The sequence below is a fragment of the Homo sapiens genome, chromosome 12 (assembly GCF_000001405.40).
Source record: "Homo sapiens chromosome 12, GRCh38.p14 Primary Assembly".
Lineage (NCBI taxonomy): Eukaryota > Metazoa > Chordata > Mammalia > Primates > Hominidae > Homo > Homo sapiens.
In genome coordinates, this window is record NC_000012.12 from 78,854,919 (window position 1) to 78,878,425 (window position 23,507).

Consider the following 23,507-nt stretch of genomic DNA (forward strand, 5'->3'; position numbering starts at 1 on the left):
CAGGAAATTGTCTTTACAACTTTGGAGTCAAGGAAGATTTCTTACAGTAGACACAAAACAAACCATCCATAAGGGCAAAATGCGAAACATTGTACTACATAGGAAAAAGAACGCATGCCCAATATATTTTATTATGATGCTACAGTAACCTTGATATCAAAACCAGCAAGTATAGCTCAAGAGAAAAATTATAGTACCATCTTAGAAGACAATAGGAATGCAAACGCTTCAACAGAATATTATCAAATGAAATCCAGTAATTGATTTAAAAATATTACATTATATTAGAGTTCATTTATTTCAAAGATGCAAATGTAATTTAATTAAAATACCCATTGTCTAGGTACAGTGGCTCATGCCTGTAATTCCAGCTCTTTGGGAGGCTTAGGTGGGAGGATTCCTTGAGACCAGAAGTTATAGACTAGCCTGAGCAACAAAGCAAAACCCTCCCTCTACAAAAACTAAAAAATTAGCCAGGCATGGTGGCATACACCTACAGTCCCAGCTACTTGCAAGCCTGAGGCAAGAGGATTGCTTGAGCCCAAAAGTTCAAGGCTGCAGTGAGCTATGATTACACTACTGCACTCCAGCCTGGGTAGCAGAGGGAGACTTTGTCTCAAAAGCAACAACAACAAAAATACACGTTGATATAAATCATGTAAACCACATTAACAAATTGATAGAAACTTGCCCTCTCAGTATGTGTAAACAAAATAACAAACAAAAACCTAGACAAAATTCATCATCCATTCATGGTTACAATAATTAAAAAGTAAACCAAAAATAGAAGAGAACTTCCTTACCCTAATAAATAACTTTGTCTAAAACCCTACAGCAAACATTAGATTTATTGGTAACATATTATAGCATTTTTCTTAAAGGGAAGATAATAAGAGTCCTTACTTTAAGTGGATAATCCACCCAATGCAATAAGTAAGCATAAAAACTGAAAATGATAGATGTTGGAAAAAAACAAAAGCTACTTTTCATCGATTTTATGTTTGTCTCTAGAGAAAATTGTTAAAATCTGCAAAATATTATTATTAATTAGAAAACAGAATTGCTAGATACTTAATCCCTCTACAGAAGTTAATTTATTTCATTTTTATGAGGAAACATAAGTTTTAAAATAGTAGAATTTACAACATTAAAATTGGTATTAAATTAGATCTAGGAAAAAATGTGCCTTGCCTTTATTAGAAAATATATTAAATTTTTATTGAAATGCTTAGAGGAAGAACCAAATAATGAAACTATAAGCCAGATTGATAGAATCAAAGTCAAAATAATGCCAATTTTCCTCAAAATTAATTTTAAAAAGTAATAAATGATAGCAATAGATCAAGCAGGTTTTCGTTTTGCTGGAAATTTACAAGGGGACTCTAAAATATATATGAGCATGTTAAAGATTAAGAATAATCAAAACATTTTGGAAGTAGAAGCAAGAATTTGTGGGGAAATGCTCTTTCAGATATTAAAATATATTAGAAAGTTACATTATTAAGCAGTATGCTATTAATGCAGGAATAAAGAGGTCAAATAGAATGAAGACTTTTAGAAACGGATATGTGCATATATGAAAAAATGATAGAGCTAGAATTGAAAGTTGATGGGGAAAGAAGAGGCTCTCAATAACTGCTGGGAAACTGATCATTAGTGTAGAAAAATGGAATTAGATTATGTCTTATAGCATAAATAAAAATTATTTTTAGAAAAGGAAAGCAAATATAAAATGATTAAATTTTATTAACTTAGAGAGAATATAAAGAAAAAATGATAGAATTGGACTACACTAAAATAAATTTCTCATATGAAAAGAAAAAACCTCCCTAAAATTCAAAATATGAGCCACAAGCTGGGAGAAGATATCAATAGTATATAGTAGCCAATGCAGTATTAATATTCAGACTATCAAAAATTCCACTGAATCGAAAGGAAATATTTAAAAATAAATAGATTATGGGCAAAAGATCTGTGAAGGCATATCACAGAAAAGGAAATATGAATGGCCAATAAATATGTGACATTGTTCTCAAATTTCTCAGTATAAGAAAAATATAAATTTAAATCTCAAAAATATATCATTGGTATCCGCCACACTGACAAAAATTATTTAGATTTGTTGTGATTTATTTTCTTATTCCATGTAAATATAAACATCAGTGCCTAATTTGGGGCTATTTTGTTTTTACAAAATACCTTAAATTATAAATATTTCCAATCTACAAAACCTGGATCCAATTCTTACCACAGGAGAAGCTTACCCAAGAGAAGCTTATGTATGTGTGACAATGTTCATAACAGCATTGTATGTAATATAAAATAATCAGAATAATGCAAACATCTAAAGACAGAAGAATGGGTTTAAAATATTAACGCAGCAGGGCGCAGTGGCTCACGCCTGTAATCCCAGCACTTTGGGAGGCTGAGGCGGGCGGAACACAAGGTCAAGTGATCAAAACCATCTTGGCCAACATGGTGAAACTAAAAATAAAAAAAAAAAAATAAGTGGGTGTAATGGCACCTGCCTGTAGTCCCAACTACTCGGGAGGCTGAGGCAAGAGAATCGCTTGAACCTGGGAGGCGGAGGTTGCACTGAGCCAAGATCACGCCACTGCACTCCAGCCTGGCAACAGAACAAGACTCCATCTAAAAAAAAAAAAAAAAGTAATGCAATTGAACACAATCACGCCTGTAATCCCAGCACTTTGAGAGTCCAAGGCGGGCAGATCACTTGAGGTCAGGAGTTCAAGACCAGCCTGGCCAACATGGTGAAACTCCATCTCTACTAAAAATACAAAAATTAGCCAGGTTTGGTGGCGGGTGCCTGTAATCCCAGCTACTTGGGAGGCTGAGGCAGGAGAATCGCTTGAACCCAGGAGGCGGAGGTTGCAGTGAGCCAAGATTGCGCCACTGCATTCCAGCCTGGATGACAGAGCAAGATTCCGTCTAAAAAAAAAAAAAAAATTGATAAAATAATTTCAGTTACATAAATAATTCTCAAATTTTACTCTTTCACTAAGAAAGCAAGTGTCAGACGTACATATTAAAGCATGATTCTATGTATAAAGCATCAAAAACAGGTAAAACTAATATACATGGTAAAACTATAAAGAATAGCAGTATAATGGTAAACACAAGATAGTAGTTACCTTGGTTGTGCAGCTAGGGAGAAATATCAGATGGGGGAGAGAAATAGGTGATGGCAAATGTTACCTTAATACTTGATTTCTGAAGCTGGATTGTGGGTATACTGGTGGCTTTATTATTAACCTTTACAGCATGCATACTATTTCATAATGAAGTTCTAAGATTTCTTAAGCCCATAGCTAAAACTCAGTCGCCTCATTGATTAAAGAGAGTGACTGGAAAAATATCCCTACTCTAGCTTCATGGATTTCCCTTGGTGGTGATGTGATACTTATATTAATAGATGTGATTCAAACTGTTCCTACATAAATCTTTCAAGTTACTCAGTATTTCTAGAGTCTACTCAACTAGACTGGTAGTCCTTGAAATAGTCACAGCTATTTTTAATATATCTTAATTGTCTATTAACATTATCAAGCCATGGCATTTGAAGGCATGGAAGAGGGGGAGTCAGCCACCATGTGATCTTCAAAAAATTACTTAACATTTCTGTGTCTCAGGTTTTGCAAAAATGTTTGTTTTTATTTATACCATTGGCTTCCTGATACTCAAATCTAGTTATTCAGTTCTACTTAGGATAGATGTGGGGACACACATCCAGGACATCTATGGTCCAGGAGATGTCGTTTTTTTGCACCCATAGTAGGTTCCCGCCACCTGGAGTGAAAGCATGCCCACAGACAGAGAACAATCACTCACGTCCCTATCACCTCTAGCATGTCTTCAATATCCAAAAGACTTAAATATACAAATGGAAGTATGCCCAGGTCCATGACAGACATTTCTGCTGGGGCCAGAGGCAGAAAACCTGGTGTCCTTACCCTTTTTATTAGTTCAATGTCCAATAAATGAACCTTCCTTTAGGAGTCCACCAATTTATGGTGCTTTATTTAGTATTAGGTGAACTAGGAACAAGTAGTACAGATTGCATAAAATATTGAAGCAAACCCATATGGTCCGCTCTGCAAAAAGCCATCCAGAAGTGTCCCGGAAAGGATCAAATGTATTTTTCAGCCCTTATCAGAACACTAAGAACCACTGCAGAATCAAATTTCAAAGTAGAGGTTTTGATTGTCTACCATCCTTCTCTTCACAATTGTATTATTAAAATAGTTTTATTTTGTTGAAAACACAGACTCTTCTCCCACTCACACTCAACCCTCTATGGCTTTTGGTAACTCGATTAGTCTCTCTGGACACACTTTTCAAATAAGTTGAATGAAGCAGCTGAACTATAATTCTCTGTGTGTTCAATTAGATAGAAATCCTTCCTCTGATTTCAAAGGGAATTAATGTAAACTTTAATGTTGCCCTTGCTTTATTAGCAAACTAGTTTTCACCACGGTATATTCCTTTTATCATAGAGTATTTGAAACATATATCATTTGTTTCCTTTCTAAGACCTTTAGCTAACATTAGCTCAAACTACTTTTATTTTGCCCCTGAGATAGATTCACCTAAATGATATTTTCCTTGCTAACCTCAACAGCCTGACACAGTATATTACTTTTTGAGTAACTGTCCTCCTTTTCATTTCCAATACTTTCTTAGCCACATCTTTAAGAAAAGGCTTTTGTAAAGCCACATAGAAAACTACTAGCTCTTTGTTTTCCTTTCTTTGGAAATTGTGAAGTTTCATCGTTCAATTATGGGGCTCTAACTCTCTGCTCCAGAGACTTGACTCCCATCAGTATTCATTTTTTTTCTTCTCCCATTTCTAGAGTCTCTTTATTAAATTCCATGGATGTTCAGTATAAAAATCAACACAGCTAATTTCTAATCTAATTCTGATACAAGGAGCCTTCATGTTTTTTCTTTACCAATTGGTTACAAAATCACTAGCAGTAATCCCAGGACAAATGATCTTGAGAAAGATGAATGGAAGAGAAATAAAAATGATGGCTCTACTGTCTTCAAGAGCATTTTCTAGAAAACAAAACAAAACAAAACAAAATAGTGTTCATCATTTTTTTTTTTGCCACCAGAATTGGATATTTCTTAATTTGAAAGAATAATATAAACAAATGTTTTTATGAAAAAAAAGCTTAAGTATCCATCCCTAAAAACTAAATTATTCATCTCGTAGATGATTACAGTGTAAGACTACTACATGCAAGACAGATGACTGTTGTCATTTTACGTATTAAAAAAGTTCTGTATCCAGGCGCGGTGACTCATACGTGTAATCTCAGCACTTTGGGAGGTCAAGGTGGAAGGATCACTTGAGCCCAGGAGTTCAAGACCAGCCTGGGCAATATGGCAAAAAAAAAAAAAAAAAAAGAAAGAAAGAAAAAAAAAATTAGCCCAACATTGTGGCATGCACCTGTAGTCCCAGCTACTAAAGAGACTAAGCTGAGAGAATCACCTGAGCCTAGGAATTGGAGGATGCAGTGAGCCATGATTGAGTCACTGCGCTCTAGCATGGGCTACAGAGTTAGACACTGACTCCTCCCATCAAAAAATAAATAAAAGTTCTTATAACATGAATTAACACCCTTCTACCTTTAATGCTCATAGGTGAGGAGTCTATGGCTCACTATTGGCTTAAATGGATGAGATGATGGGAGGAAACCCAATAACCCAGAAATCTGGAAAAAAAAAATAGTAGTAGCAGAAGTAGCAGCAATGATAATGATAAAATGATAATAATAGTCATTAAGTTCTTGCTATGTGCTTGGAACTAGCACTTTATGTGCACTGCTTTTTTTAATCCAGAAAAAAAACCTAATGATAAATGTTGTATTCTTATGTACATATTTTAGATGACAAAACTGAGACTTGGAGGGGTTTTGTACATTTTTCAAGGTGGCATAGCCAATTAGTGGTGAAGCTGGAATTCTACCCAAATTCTGACACCAGAAAACATTTAATTAATTATCTGTCCTGCAAAGAGACCAAAAAGTCAGTATCTTGAGAAACACAGATATAAAGTGAAAAGAATAGTAAGATCTGCATCTATATAAAAAATAAACAAAAAAATAGAAAAATTTAGAGAAGTCAATTATTTTTCTTTTTTAAAGAAACAATCCTGGGTAATGATATTTATAAATAGCTTTTACCAGACAACTACTGTGGCTACTAAAGATATAAAGTTTAATGATGTATGAGTCTTAATTAAATGTAACTCTTTTTTTATTATTTATTTATTTTGAGACAGTCTCGCACTTGTCACCCTGGCTGAAGTGCAGTGGCGGGATCTCGGCTCACTGCAAGCTCCGCCTCTCGGGTTCACGCCATTCTCCTGCCTCAGCCTCCTGAGTAGCTGGGACTACAGGCGCCCGCCACCACGACGGGCTAATTTTTTGTATTTTTAGTAGAGACGGGGTTTCACTGTGTTAGCCAGATGGTCTCCATCTCCTGACCTCGTGATCCGCCCACCTCGGCCTCCCAAAGTGCTGGGATTACAGGCGTGAGCCACCGCGCCCAGCCGGATTAAATGTAACTCTTTAGTATCATTGATCAACCAGGTAATTCTGGCCTTTCCAACAACCTGCAGAATTTTCTTGATACCTCTCTCACGTTAAGTATTCTTTCTGTGGTTTACAGAAACCTTGGCTAAGTTTCCACTTAATGAATTTCTAGTTCTAATGTCCCTAATTCCCACTCTTGCCATAAGACACACTTTCCTCCTCAGTGCCCCAATCCAATTTAGTTTCTATTCTGATCCTGTAGCCTAAAATAGATGGCAAAGGAAGCATGAAAGTAGTAAATAGATGAATCCAATAAAAAAGGAATAAAGAAAATATTGAAAATGAGATCTTGATCAGAGCAAAATGTGAAGAAAAATTAATAACACTTTTTTAACGAAGAAAGAGGAAACAAAACATTAAACAGATTTTGTAAAAGTTCTGAAAATAATATTTTTAAAATACCATACAATCAGGGGATAAGTTAATTCTCAACAGCAAAAGTACTCTAGATGTAAAAGTACTTAAGAAATGGAATGATAAGAGTGACAAAGAGCTCTCTCTTTGTCTCTACAGAACAATTGACCCGATCTTCCTTTTAATAAAAATGAGTCTGCTTCAATAGGCAAAGAGATGATACACACTTGCGGCAAAGTATAATGTTGTGTCAGCCCAGTAGATCCAGGAGGACGTCTTCAACACATTCCCAAGAGCTTGGAGAGAATTTAGGAATAGGAGGGAGAGTTAAAATCTTAGTATAGCTACAGTCACCATATAAATAGAGTCTTCTTATTATTTATGTACAGAAAATGTTATCAATTCTAAAGTTAAGCACAATATACATGTAAAGCCCATTTCTTATTTTAACCTGCAGTCTCCCTCAAGGAACATTGGGTTACAAACTTCTGATACCATTCATGTTGCCAAGGATTCTGGCCACTGAAATAGAAAGATTGCTAGGTAAGATGTGAAGTAAACAGGAAAAGAAATTGACTAAAATATTAATGACAAAATCAGTGTCTGGAGCAAAAATTTTAAAATCTGTATTTGTATTCTATTGACTAATTTATTCTAAAATAAGCATACTTTTTTTCTACATGCAGCTATTGGTAAATAGGATAAATGTGCCAGTTTTAATCACTGGAATCTAGAAAGTATGCTAGGCATATATTTAGAATAAAGATCTATATTAAGTGGATATTATAATAATCTTCTCATCCAAAGATATTTATTGGACAACAAAATTACAGGGTTACTTAATTCTTCTTCGTCTTCTCTTCCTCCTTCTTCTCCTTTTCCTCCACCTCACCATCCTCCTTCTCCTCCCCTTCCTCCTCCTCCAACTTCTTCTACTTTTTATCCTGTCGTTTTTCTTCCTTCTCTGTCTTCTCCTCCTCCTCTCCTTCACTAAATAACTGAAATAAAATTTAGACCAAATTCTTTTATCTTATTTCTCCAACTATGAAATGATTTTAAAATAAGGTTTGGAGACTATTTTGGAAAATGGAAAGTGAATATTTACATGAAGTCACAAGTCTGGGGTGCATTATTTTCACACTTCTACCTCTAATGTTAAACTTCCTATTATTCAAGCATAGCCCAAATACAAGTGTTTGTCACTTAGAAGGATATATTTATATCACGTTGCCTTCTTTTCCCGTATACTTAGAATAAGGATCTTAATCTTAAACATTACATAAGTAGAAGAGATTTAATTAAAAACTTGAAGAAATGTGTTACTGTTAATTGAATTCTTGCTACATTTACCTTTGCACACCAATGTTAATAAAACTCCAGTTCAAAGTGGATGGGTTTGGGGAATTGAGATAGCTATTTATTTCCCTACCTGAGATGCCAAGATAATCTTCTCAGTAAAATAAAGAACCCAATTAGGAGAGTTCTCATTTGTAGCTATTGATCAAGTTTACACAAAATGCTAGGATTTCTAAATAAAACAAATAAGAGGTTCAAAGGCCTTTAAACGAGGTTGAGGGAGGGAGAAAGGGAAATAGTTCTCTCCGTTTTGAAATCCTTTCACCTGTGGAGCAGATAATGGACGGGCCCCTCTCCCAGCTGGGCTCCGCTCCCGCCCCTAGCCTGGCGCGCGGTCCCTTCCCCCACCCGCTGAGCCTTCCTGTTCGGTATTTCGGTATTACCAAGCTATAAATTGCCTGAGAGCTTAGAGACAATCAGGTCACCACCGCCCTCACAAGAGAAAAGCTTCTTACTTCCGAGCAGAACGGTTCAGCTGGGAAGAGAGGAAGCAGGGAGAGAATCTATGCTTTAGTCGTCACTGCTCTGGCAAGGGGTCGAGAGAGATGGGGGAGGGAGGTGGCAAAAAATAAAAATGAAAAAATAAAAAAGCATCTCCAACAATGTTGCACTTGACCCAAGTGTACAAACTTATTGGTCGCTGCAATGGAAACTCCCAGTGCACTCTCCACGGCCTGGCAGCCGCCGCTGATGGGTGGAGTCGCGCTCCCGGCCCCACCTATGGGACGGAGCTGCTTCTCCCGCATCTCGGCTCCACCGCACCCTTCGCGGGAAGTCCCCAGGCTTCCAGCAAAGCTCAGCTTATCCCGCCCCCGCTTCCAACCCGGAACCCCAGAAGAACAGCATGATGAGCCTCCGGCAGCCAGGTGGGCCACCTCCCCGCGGCTCAGTTTGAGGACACTTGTGCGGAACCCTTTCACATCCCCACCCTACCCAGCTTTCACAACTCCGCCGGGTTAAATGGCCAAAGACAAACTTCTACCTCTCCTGTCCCCGGTCCCAGCTTTTCAAAAACCCACAGCTGGCGAACCCACACACATCGAAACTCCTAGGTCGCTGTTGCAGTCTGGGCATGCTCAGTATCAGGGTAGGTTTTGATTGAGAGTAAAAAAAAAAAAAAAAAAGCTTTGTATTATGCTCTCTTTCTCCTGTGCATACTGCTTGCTGAACAGCTTGTGGGGCATTCCTGAGTCTACCTAGAGGTTTTATCAGACGCCCTTGATTGTGTCTCCTTGGGATCTGTTCCCCTCTTACTTCACCCCCTCCCCCAACCCGCCTCCACCCCGCTTCCCAGGTCCCTGTCCGCTGTGGGGATGGAGAGACACTAACAGAACTGGGATGGGCGATGTTGGCTGAACGGATCCACCTATTATTAGTGCGCGGGGATTGGCTCCTTGGCGCAGCGTACCCGAGGTGGAGCCAATCAGGATGCTGGGGCTCGGAGATGATGGGCGGCCGCCTCCTCACTGGAGGGATTCCTGGAGAAGCTGCAGTGTGGGGATGCTCTAGACCGAGTACTGCCCCCAGTGTCTTTCCACCTCCTCCTGCAGCAGCGGCAGCGGCAGCAGCAGTTAGCAGCGGCAACTTGAGGCTGCACCCCGGGCAAGTCCCCAGGGTGGTGCTCAGCCGAGAGGGGGGCTTGGCGCCCCGAAGGGGTGTGTGTAGGGTGGGGGCGACCACGTGGGACCAGCTGGTGGCCCTGGAAAACCTCCCACACACCCACACCCACACACCCCTTTTGTGTTGCAGGCTGCCCCTCCAAGAGCGGAGGCAGCGAGAGTACGCGTGTGCCTCGCGCCGGTCCACGCGGGGAGAGCACTGGGGACCGAGACCCGGCACCACCTCCCGGTCCGCCCTCCAGGTAAGGAAGCGGGACTGGCGGCGCGGCCACCTCGGCGGTGCCTATCTGCTCGAATCCATCCCAAAGATTTTCTTCTCGATACACTTGGGTTTTAGTGGTGGGAGTCTGAGACCTAGGGAGGGATCCCCGGGTGGCCTATTGTGAGAAATATGAGACTACATGTGCATCTCCTGGAAAAGCACTTTGCACAGCGCCCGTGATTTAGAGCCTGGAGTTGATGTTGGGCATCCCCCATCTTCTTGCTTCCTCTTTCCTTCTCTTGTTCTCTCTCCTCCGTCCCCCACCCCCAATCTCAATCTTTTCTCTCTTTCTCTCCCACACCTCCCCTCTCGCCCTCCTCCCACCCTAAGCACGCACAGCGTTTCTTTCTCCTCCTGGAGAGGATTGCCTTTCTTAGAGGAAAGAGGGGGAGTGAAGAAAGGAGAAAGATTTCTTTCTGTTGGGGAGAGGGATATGGGGGGGGGGGGGAACGTAAACAAGATAGAATACAAGCTCTGCGAAAATCAGAGCACATAAAGCAATTAAACTGAATAAGGGGAGTAGACAACCAGTCCAGCTTGGGCTGTCAGAGAGAGGAAGCGTCAAGTTTGACTTGATTTCCTCCTTGCAAGAGTCTATGTCTCTCACTTGATTCGTTCAAATGGAACAAAAATAAACCGACAATCCAACCCACTTTCAACTGCTTAATTGCTTTTGCTTTTGAGTGCCAACCATCTGACTTTTCCTGTTTCCATCTGTCCTGTGGGGCTAACAATTTGGTATTGCACATCAGTGTTAATATCTGAACTTTGAAAGCTTTCTTGAGTAACAAAAAAAAAAAAACAATTAAAATAGATTATTACTTTCCTGAGGTTTCTTGGTATGGCCTGTTGTTGGGGGATCAAAAAATGTAAAGTTTCAAAACATTTGCAAGGGACAACAATTTTATAGGGAGGCTTGGATTTCTACTTTGAGAAAGCTAATCTTCTAGTTAGCTTTGTGTACATGTTGATATTCACTTTCTCCAGTATTAACCCTTTCGTGAAATAAAGCAACTGTTTAACTTTTGTATGGAAGCTACATTTGTGTAGAATTTTCACTTTATTCTACCTTTGTACTATTTGCATTTTATTGTCTGGATACCAAACTTATGCCTGGCTTTATTTTCTTTTAATAGGACAATATTTAATGGATGTAAACATGATGTTTATACAATTTCAGCACTCCCTTTAGAAGGCACATGGAGGCTCAGTTGGACAAGAATCCTCCTGTACTGGAACTAAGTTTAGAAAGTAATGCTAGAAAGATACCCTAAATTTTAAAAATCCTGAAGGGGAAAACATTTTTGTAACGTCTTGTTAAAAGAAAGAAAAATATATCAAAACACCAACATGCCCCTGGCTGCCTGCATAATAGGTCAAGTAAATGGTACTTGTTGGACAGAGCCTTTACAGCAGCTTCAGCAGTCTCTAATTCCATCATTGGGGATATAAGCTTTCTTTTCTTATTATTCTTCAGGGACAGCTAAGCGATAGTACTGTCAGATGGAAGGAGGTATAGAGAAATGCCTCGTTTGATGTAATAGGAAAGCATTCCAAGTGGGTCTTACCTGAACACAGAGAAATCCACAGATGTTAGTATACAAAACACTTCTTTTTATTTATCAGGGGAAATGCAGAGTCTTACTTTTTTTTGTCTAGAACTCCACTTGATATAAGAAAAGAGAATCTTCTATCTTAACTGTGTCTGACCTTCCACACTAATTTTGTATCTCAGAGAGTATTTTTTCACTACGTACGTTTAATATATAAGTTTACACACCAACTTAGAGAAGAGCTGAATTCATTTGCCATCAGTGTAATGTGTACTATTTTCCAAACCATTTTGCATTTGAGGCAATGATCTCTCCCTAAATAGAATTACCAAGTCACGAAAAACGATTTTCTTTCTAGGGCTTTGACATTTAAATGAAAAAAAAAAAAAAATAGTGTCTCTGTTGAAAGCTAACTCTGGTTTTTAGAGGTGCCACCTTTTGGTTACAAGGACAAAGGGACAATCACTTAATTACCTCACATGTATGTACAACTGAATTAACAAGTTTAGACATGAAAAGATGTACAAAAAGGAAGCCAGCTGCCTTCATGTGAGAAAATTAAGATTTTGTTTTCTCATTTCTCCACTGTCTTAGGAATATGTGAAAATTTAGGCTTGGTTTGTGACATTTATTTTCATGACTCTTTACAAATGTTAATTATAGAAATAACATCTAAAAATATGGATATGAGTAGTTTTTCAAATACTTCTAAAAAATTCAATATCTGTGTATTGGAAATCAGAACTAATTCCAATATATAGTGAGTGGATTGGGGAGAGACCTTACATGATATATTATAGGAAATTCTTACTTTGTTATCCCACAAAATAGTCTAATGTCACAATTTCATACAATCTTTGTTTTTTCTCCCTTTGACAGGATATTTTAGTAAATCTCATTAATGTTTCAGAGTAAATATGATAATTATGCCTCGAGGTATTTTTGTCAGAATTGAAGACTGCTAATATATAGGGAAAATCCTAAAATACTAATTTCACAAAAATACCACATGATTGAGAGTTGTTGCTGAGTAGTTTTGAACTTCATTTCATAATGGAGAATATTAGTTATTTCATCTGGTCAAATTATCAGATAGTTCTAATCAACAAATATGAAAATGAATAACATTGTATTTATACGATTTGCATATTAGACTGAAATTGAAACTAAAAAATAGTATTAATTATATGCTTGTATTAATTATATGCAAGATGAGCTGGAAGATTAATAAAATAAAATGTAGAATATGTTAGAAATCTGAAAGTTAATTTGAACTTCCTGTTAGCCTAATAACACCATTAACATAATATCAGTTCATCACTTTTGATGTCAGTATATTAAGTTGATTTTGAGAAAATTCCCAAAACAGTTAGAGCCATCTAATCTTAAAGAACACACACTTAATGCAGACAATTATACGAGCCTGAAATATAGTTCTTATGATTTCCAGTTTGTGCAACAACCAAGAAGAGCTATCACTAATTCCAAATTGAAACATAATATTTATTTTCCTAATGGTAATAATTAAGTAATTTGGGGGGAACAAGAAATAAAAACAGTTTGATTATATAATGGAACAAATCTTTGTCTAATATTACCAAAAACCCATACCAAAGTTAGACTTTCTGCCATTGTGTAATGTAGGTATGCGTCTTGCATGCATTCTGCAGAAAATATAATATTTTTAAAAAGTAAATATCTGATGTAGTTGTGATATTTTAAAATTCTTAAATAATTTATTTATCATAAATATATCTGTACCAAAAGTTCAATACATGACGTGGCTGATTTTAGCTGAAATTTTTTCACTGAAATTGACCAAAGCCATTTAAAAAGAGACAAAGTATATGGCAATATACATAATAATTTCAGCTAGAATTTAAGGATATGTGTGTGTATATACATATGCATATATTTGTGTGTATATATATTCCGAAATTATCTAAATTTTTCAAAAAGGTTTAGAAACTCATGGACAGTAGACTATAATTTGCTGAAACTAGGGGCTATTCATGTACAAAGTACCATTTAAAGAAAGATGACGGTGTCTTAGGAATGCTTTTAAGGGTTCTTTGGTTGAAAGTCTGGGAATACTCAGAGATAATATTAATGAGAGCCTAGAGTTTTTTTCTTTTAAAATGGGGTTCCATGGCTTTGGGCAGAAATGATTTTTATATGTATCATGATTGAAAAAACTCTCAGTACAAGATGATGCACTTCTTTATACAGGTAACAAATAAGTTGAAATCATATTTTTACATGATTTAGATATGATGGCTGATAAAACTTCTGTCTTTCTAAGGCTTTTGGCAGATGTTTCTTTCAATATTTGCATTAAGGTAAACATTCTTAATTTTTTATGTAATTGAATGGCATGATTATCATTGCATTGGGTGGGAGAATGTGGGTTGATATGTTTTCATTAAATTCCTCAAGAAATGATCAACATTTTTTCAGTCTTTTTGCAAACTTGACTTAAACTTCTCCACTAAGTGTTTCCATTTCCTTAAGGAGAAATTTAACATTTCCAAAAAAAAAGATAACCAGCATTTTTCTTTCAGCTGGTCATTTTAAGAGTGTTCTTGAGGAGCTAGTTTTATATGGACTGTAAGATAAACTGTGGTAGCCGGGTATGTGAACATCACTCCATTCATATGTACTAGCAATACAAAATAAACTTATTTAAAATTATAGTGCAAATGTATGCTACCTATTAGAAGAGAGCATGCCATCATTTACTGTCTACATCAATAAAATTAACTTTTGTTTTATTAAAAAAGGAAAACTTTTCTTTAAAGTGGACAATAAATATATTGCTATGTTGTAGAAATGGTAAACACTAGAGATGCTATTTCTGCAATTTAAAATATAATATTAGAGATTCTATTGCAAAGAATCCTAGTTTTAAAATGGCATCTACATTACATTATTTTAAAAAAGCAATATTTAAGAGAGTTTCAAAAGAAATTAAAACCTACATTAAAGTAAAATAACACCTTTATGGTAGTGTTAGAAATGAATTTTCTAGCATGTCTTTGACACATGCAAAACAAATATTTTAAAGAATTATTTCTGTAATTGCTCTAATTTTTATATTTATTTAAGCCTTAAGTTCTGATTGCTGATTTCCATACTTTACTAATAATGCAAATGAGAGGTCAAAGTTTATCTTTTTTGGTTACTGCTATTGCGGAAATACAAAGAAAGCATACTGGTCACTCCTATAAATGTCTCACACATAGTATGTTTTATGTTTAACATTATTACTTATGCACATAAAAAGGCATTTTGTTAAAGAGGAGCTCTAGAAAATCATAAAGCAGATGAAGATATAAAACACGCCTTCTATTTCTAGCTGTTTGTACAAAATGAGAGCTGGGGAATTTCCATGTAGAACGGGAATGGCCTATAAACTAGTGTAAGAATTCGGTGAAACTACTTGGTTAAGATATAATTTAAGATATTATTTCCAAGAGTTCATACAGCCCTGTTGGACAACATTTCATCACAGATACTAGCTTGCAACCATGCTACGGCAATCATAAATACTGTTAAAAAGACATTTAGCTAAGTGCCTCAGTTAGAAATTAATTTCTGATTGAAATATCCACTTAATTAAATTCAGGTATGGTACTGAAACTTGGTCATATCTTACCTCAAAGAACCTATTTCTGTACTTGTGAAATATAGCTTTATTAATAATTTTAAAGTGCTTAGAGTTCCGATATTTTTTTATCAAAGGGTATTATATAAGTAAAAGTAATTGTGTCTTATTTCCTGTGATAGATAAATGTTTTCTTTCTCTTTTGAAATCAAAGATAAAATGCACATATGCACTCAAATGCAAACATATTTGAAGAGTTTGAAATGTAAACATTCTTATTTTGCAATTGCTTACATGAGAAGTATATAGTCTCCTGTCCTCTTCCATCATGCTCCCTGACAGCAGCCATCATTTCAGTCCCTTGAGAATAGAAAGGAAAGCAGACAAACCACCTGAAAACTCTGGTGAAAGTTCTCATGATGTGGCCTCCAGGGAACAGCCTCTTGTTTTACTTGAGGCTCATTTCCGCTGGGCCATCCTCCTTGCATGTCACTCCATGCCTACTGTGGGTAGGAAACAGGTACTTGGATTGACTGATTGCTGCTTTGAGATTCCTTGACATATTTTTTCATCAACATGAAGGCAAAAGGACATGAATACTCAGTCAAAACATGCAGAGCTGTACTTACGTGAACACTTTTAAAATGCGATACTGAATCTTATATAATTTTAGGATAATTTATGAAAAAGCTTTTCTTTCTTGGAATTTCTTTTGTTTACTCACAAGTGATCCAAGCAAAAGATGAAGCTGTTAAACCATGAGTCAGTATAGTATTTTTTTAACTTAACACCTGAGAATAAAGCTGAAAGGATTGTTTAAAAAGTGTTTCAAATCATACTTTCAAAATCCATCTGTGTCTGGAGACCCTTAAATAAGCACATGCTTCATGGTCATTATCCCAGATAACTGACAATTTGTTTTTCTACAAAATCTCTGGATATTATGAAACATCACACACGAGCTTGCTTTTAGGATAGATTATTAATAATGTATTTTTCAGACACAATTGTATGTGAGAGTTTCTGCAAGTATAAACAATAAGATAACATTACAGCAGCAGGCAACACTCACTAAAATATCAATTTTGAATTGTCTGCTCTCTCTTTGAGAAGGAGAAAGAGCTAACTGAGTATCTTTTTCCCTCATGATGTACTTACTGGTCTCCAATATCCTATGCCATACAAACAGTGGACATGGTCCTTGCTTAGCTCCTATGAAATACGGAAACTGCCTACCTGCTTATTTTTGAGGGAAAAAAAACTTTTCTAGAAAGATTTTTAGACAAATGATTTATTGGCCTTTGAAGCAAGGACAAGTGCTATAACAACTCATTAAGGGACAGTTGAGCTCTAGCAATCAGGTTTTGAGTTATCAAGATTATTAGGAAGAAAAGTTGACACAGTTTCTCAGGAAAAAGACAAGGAAGCAAAGCATTGAAATCTGTTTCTGACTTGGAGTGTCTGCCAGATCCTAGTTTACAAGGCTGGCTTTCTGCCTAATCCCTAGCATTTTCATCAGATTTGAAGACTGAATAAAGTGAACTATTGGGCATTAGAGCATATTTCTAGAGCACCGAGACCTCTTCTATAAATAGCATAACATCACTCTTCTATTTTAACCAATGTTCAGAATCCGAGGCCACAAGTTTTTATATTTAAATATGTATAAACCAGATCATTCTATGCCTGAAAGTACTAGGGTTTTATCTGTCTGTGTACAGGAAATTCTTCTGTTAAAAGCTTAGTTAACAATATGACATTACAAATAATGTACCTATTTTTAGTGGTTTTATTAAATTATAATGTTAAATTTAAAAAGCCAAGCATTCACCTTGAGCTACATCTGAGCCTGATAATTCAAAAAGTGACATTTCAGTACAAAGCCAACATACCCTTAAATTGACAAAACTGCCCTGCTTTTAAATTGTTTTGTAAAAAAGTACTTGATATGCAAGTTTCCAACGACTTGTTTTTTTTCTGGAGAATCTTAGATACTTTCTGAACCACTCTTAGACAACACAGAATGAATATTAATGACAGGAGAGAGCTGACTCCTTCAGGCAAAAGTGGATGAGACAAGTTCTTTTATGCCTTTGAGAATCTGTTTCATCATTTATATATTGAACACATAGCAACAGTTTTATTTCTCTTGATTTCTGGACTTTTAGACCTGTATGCATCGAAGCATATTACACCTCACAGCCTGAATAGGAAAGATTTGTTCAGTTCTCTGGTTATAAGAATGATATAGGAATTCCTTTGTGTTCTCTTCCTTTCTGTACATTTTATTCCTTTCTCATGTCTTCTCTTCCTACTCTGCCCTTCTTCCTTCTTTTCTTCATTCTTTTGTCTTTCCTTTCTTTTTTTGTATCTTAATTAAATATTTTCCTATAGAATCACTAAATGAAGGTTTAGTACTTTTGACCCATAGTAATCTTCACCAGCTGAATTAATTTGTGTCAACAACTAAGAAATGTAATTCTTAGTTTGTATACATTTTAGGTTAGCTTCACAAAATATATGTATAGATAAATAAAGGAGCAGCCTTTTAATTTGTTTATGTAATTGGCACACTTAAATGGAATGTGTCATCATATGAATGTTTTTAAAATTTTGCATGTAAAGGGCTTGCGGATAATTTTTAAACCGTAACTTTTTGCAGAGAGACAGAATAATGTTTTAGAGTCCAAAAAACTGGCATGTACTATTTGGCATGTTTTTCTTTATTTTCTATTTTGCCATTGCAATGGTAACAAGTTACTGTGTTCATGACAGGCGTGCAGCACTGTATTTTTATTTGTTTATTTATTTTATTGCCTTGTTTGATGTTGATAATGAAGAGGTTCTCTCTCTTAAAGATGCAATGAAGGAGACTCAAGTGTTGTTACTTGCCTGCAATTACACATTTAGAAAGCCTCTTATATTTTTTGTCTGTTGGAACTTACTGCCTCAGCACTTAATAAAGCAGGAAAAAGCATGTTTTGTAATTCTCTTACTATGTAAGAACTAGTTTGCTTTTGCTTATCTAACATCATTATTGAGTATAAGATACATAGTCTTTATTTATCCCACTGAAAAAATAAGAAAGATTTGATATACCATTATTTCTTCTGTGACTCTAATTGCAAAATAAATTGAGTTTGTGTTTTAAAATTATTCAAGGGACATTTTTGTAATCTACAAGAAAAGTCACTAAGCTTGAGTCACTAGGCTAAGTTGGCCTTTAGTCATTGCTATATCACTGTGATGTTAGATAAGTCACCTTATTTGTTTTCTTATTTGTAAACTCCATAGTTCCAAGCCACCAAGTAGGGTGCAATGAGAAGTGATTGTAATCATAAGTGTTGTAGCTTTATCACTAACTCTCCAAACTTATCTCTTATTATTCTCCTCATTGATATTCATACACACCTTCTTGCTGTTCCTTCACATAACATTAGTGGAAGTTGTTGAATCTATTGATACTTTTTATCTTCTATTCCAAGGTAGAATGGTTAAACATTCTGCTCTAAGTGAACATATCCAAACCACAATTATTATTCAATTCAAATATGAAGTCTATCAGTTGGCAATTCTTTGTGTTAAGAAACACATTTGCGAGCAATAGCTAATAGCCATACCATTGCAATGTGGAATAATATAAGTGTGTTTGTAGCTAATCTGATTTAAGAAAACAGGAATTTTAGTTGGGAAGGGCCTATAGAAAGAATACAAAATTATATGAAACATAGGATAGGTATTAAGGGAGATATTTGAATGAATACAGGTATTCATATTGTTTCTTACAATATGTCAGGCACTTTTCTATGTACTTTCCATGCTTCATCCCATTTAATATTCTCAATAACTCCTTGGGATTTGTGCTAATTTGTTTATAATTTTTAAGTGAGAAAGTAGTGGAAAAAGAATAACTGAGCAACTTCCCAGGGTCACATTATGTAGTAAGATGTAGAATTAAACCCAAGCTACCTATTTACAGAGCCAATACTCAATCATAGGTAGTCACACAATCAATAAACTCATAAATGTCAGAAGAAGAGAATAGATGGTGGCAAAGAGGTAGAGGTACCCAAAAGAGATTAAATAGTGATAGGCAAATTGATCCACTTTATAGGTTAGGTCAATATGAGCATGATGGCAATAGGATAAAAGTATGAAACTTAGAGAGCTGGATTCAGATAGCCAACTCTGGAATGGTGAACTTCAATAAGATAGTTCCCCAGGAATGAAAATGCAATAATGTTTGCAAATTGTCTGGTGCCCTGTTACTATATGGTAGATTTGACCACCTTTGCTCCTCTTTCTCTTTTTTTATTTTCAGAAATTCTTTCACTTGTAAAAATGCCACCTGACTCAAAATGCTTAAGCAAGAAAAGGGATTTTGGTGCTCATGTGACCATAAAGTTCATGAATATTCTGGCTTCAGTCATAGGTGGAAATGGGAGCTCACACCATGTGGTCAGAACCAAGCCTATTCTCCTTCCTACCACTGTACCACTAGTACTCAATAATTTAACGACTGGTATGATTATACCAGTGTGAAAAGTCTACCTATAAGAGGATATTGGCTGAGTTGATTGTTATTTAATTCTAGTTATGTCCTTGCCTTACTCTGTTTGGCTTCCTCACTTTTTAATGCAGAAGGGTAGATAGTCTTTATTCATCTCATTGCAAAGATAAGAAGAAAGTCCTTTACAAGACTTGAAGAAATTAAGCTTAGTAGAACCAAGAACAGCAAATTGCAGAGCCACTTGCGTGTAAATGAGAATTTCAAACTTTTATTAGTTTTGTAAGGAAGGAGGGGTTATTTCAAGGAGTTTATAAAGTTTTAACCTACATATGCTACAGATTAAACGTTATCAATTTGTACAAATATATTATACATTTTTATCTTTGTTGTACTCTGAATTGAAGAGGAAATATTTGGGAATAATATATTTCTTCGGTAAGTATGATGATGTTCCTATTATATGCCAGGCACCATTTGGATGCTGGGGATACAGAAATAAAAATAGTAGACAGGTTTCCTGCATGTAGGAGCTTACATTCTAAGGAAGAAGAGAGACCATTAAAAACAACAACAAAACATTGCTATGGTACTTATATAATAAATACTATAAAATTGTAAAATAGGCTAATAAATAAAACAGAGCAATAGTGGGGAATGTGATCAACCAAAAGGAAAAGGAGCCAGCCCTGTAACTATCAGGGGAAAGCACTGGGGTCAAATGAAGCAACCAGTACAGAAGCTCTACAATGGGAACAGTTTGGTCTATTTAGGTATAAAGACACTGGTTTTATGTGTTTCCCGTGCCTTAATATTTTAATTAAAAATAATCTGCAAACATTATTAAGAAGTTTTCAAAACAGTGTAATCATGTATAATCTCACCATGCTTTAAATATATGCTGTCTCATTTCTGTGTAATATGTTTCCAGTGTGTGTTCATATGCTTACATTTTTTATGGCGACAATCATAGAATATACACTGTTTTTACTTTGACTTTTAAAATGTATTCTCAGATGTCTTGTAGACATGTATTTTTATACTCCAGTTTTATCTTCGGAAGAGTAGCTGCTTTTCTTTTATTCTGTATATTCCTCAGACACTTTCTACATATCTTCCGTTTCTTAAATCTTAATAATTCTTTCCCTTTCCCCTCATTTCTAAAGAAATTAAATACATGGCCTAACTCCAGTTTTATTGTTCCTATAAATTTAAGTCAACACCTTAACTTTTTATCACATTCATGACACTTGTCAATGCAATTTCCTTTTGAGTATATTTTTGATTATATCCTACAAAACTCTAATTTAGATTTTGAAACAAAAGTAAATAAACACAGAAAACATAATGAAACAAATCATTTTGTGTCGATTATCACTTAGACAACACAGTTCTTGTAGCATTAACCGGAAATTATTTTTCCTCTATCTAGTCTCATATCCTGGTTTCAAGAACTCAATAACCTAAGTCTACCTAGGTTGCTATATGATAGTAAACCAGTTGCCTACAAAGGCATATTAACTTTTGTGAGACTGCATTACCACGCAATCTGCTACACAGTAATGAAGTAATAATTAAAGCCTCAATCATAAATGTTCCTCTTTTATTTTCTGCTAATGCTCTCTATAGACATTATATTCTGATAATAACATGTTTTGAAAATGGAGGTGTTTTTTTTTTTTTTTTTTTTGCCAAACTACTCTGCTCCATCAGGCTCTTTTGTATCCTAAATATTTTATGTTATACTATATATATGAGTGTGTGTATATATATACACACATATACACACACACGTATACATATACACATGTAAATATATACACATATGTATATACACACGTGTACACATATGTATATACACACGTGTGCACATGTGTACATGTGTGTATATATACACACATGTAGTATATTATATAATATATTATATAATATAATTATATATTATATATTATATATTGTATATTATATATATTATATATTTATATATTATATAATACATATAATATATTATATGTAATACATATCATATATTATATGTATTATATATAATATATATTATATATAATATATATAATATATTATATGTATTATATATAATATATATTATATATTATATGTATTATATATAATATATATTATATATTATATATAGTGTATTTTGATTTTTTAAATGCACCTGGCTCCTCTAGTAAATGCCAGTTTTTCAGAATTTTGCGATGACATTTTTATCATCTCTGACTCTTCAGTACCTGAAAGATATTAAGGAGTGAATATTTTATAGAATATTTATTGAATGAGTGTATTAGTCTGTTCTCACGCTGCTAATAAAGACATACCCGAGACTGGGCAACTTATAAAGGAAAGAGGTTTAATGGATTCACAGTTCCACATGGGTGGGGAGGCCTCAAAATCATGGCAGAAGATGAAGGAACAGCAAAGGGATGTCCTATGTGGCGGTAGGCAAAGAGAGAGCATGTATAGGGGAACTCCCCTTTATAAAACCACAGGATCTCGTGAGACTTATTCACTATCATGAGAACAGCATGGGAAAAACCTTCCCCCATGATTCCGTTACCTCCCACTCTGTCCCTCCCACAACATGTGGGAATTTTGGGAGCTACAATTCAAGATGATATCTGGGTGGGGACACAGCTAAACCATATCAATGAGTAAATCCAGTAACTCTATATTTTCTAACATTTTTAACTGGCATCCAAATTTAGTGTATGCATACACACACTATTAGCAAAAGTTCTATGAAATATTACTTGTTATGCTTTCTGATACTTTTCAATTATCCTTTTCTATTTCATTAAATAAGTACTGGTCATGATCAACTAAGTTTATATTACAATCTAACAATGTATAACAGCCTGTATTTTTTTTCCTTTTTGAGACAGATTCTGGCTCTGTCATTCAGGTTGGAGAGCAAGCACATGATCCTCCCAACTCAGCTACCTGAGTAACTGAGACTACAGGTGCATACCACCACGCCTGGCTAATTTTTGTATTTTTTGTAGAGACAGGGTCTCACTATGTTGCCCAGGCTGGTCCTGAACTCCTGGGTTGAAGAGATCTCCCTGATTCAGCTTCTCAAGGTACTAGGATTACAGGCATGAGCCACCACACCTGTCCTCAAAAGTATAATCTTCTTGCTATATTCACATACAGGTAATTTTGTGTGAATTTATAATCCATTATTTTTAAGTCCACAATGAATCTAGCACCAATGCTGTTATTGGCCACTCTTAAGCAGATTCACGTCAGTTGGCTACCTTCTAAGGGATTCAGCTAATAGCTCTTAAGCTTCCTTTTGGTTGTCATGGGGTTGATATATTGCACTCTTTTTTGTGTGTGTGTGTGTGGATAAACTTTCTTGTAGATCGGAAGAGGATACACGAAAGGAATAAGGGATTACCTCTTTTCCTTTAAAATAGTGAGTGGAGAACTAGTCTATGGAAAAAATAGACAATGAAGATTGAGCATAGGTATTTAGAGTTTTGTATTCAAATTAAGAAACAAACAAATAACATAAAATCTGTCAATCCTTCACCAAGTACATAATGTGGGAATTTTACTAAATGATTTCTCTGACACCTTTCAGTGCTAACATGTGAAGGTCTGTAATTGAC

General features: G+C 35.5%; 1 protein-coding gene across 8 annotated transcripts in view, besides 1 other annotated feature; it reads left to right on the forward strand.

Moving 5' to 3' along the window:
- Window positions 8,640–8,699: a silencer, noted in NCBI's record as "silent region_4680". NCBI's record gives its function as "represses an Ori minimal core promoter by ATAC-STARR-seq in GM12878 lymphoblastoid cells {active_cell/tissue: GM12878}" and the evidence as "EXISTENCE:reporter gene assay evidence [ECO:0000049][PMID:35858748]".
- Window positions 9,064–23,507, forward strand: part of SYT1 (synaptotagmin 1) — a 588,027-nt gene continuing 573,583 nt past the window's right edge. For 7 of the 8 annotated variants that reach the window (NM_001415940.1, NM_001415943.1, NM_001415939.1 and 4 more), the window contains exon 1: window positions 9,856–10,191. The gene's annotated coding sequence lies outside the window, so the exon portion shown is untranslated. Of the gene's footprint in view, window positions 9,418–9,855; window positions 10,192–23,507 lie in introns of those variants that run through there. The other variant, NM_001135805.2, reaches the window with a different exon arrangement.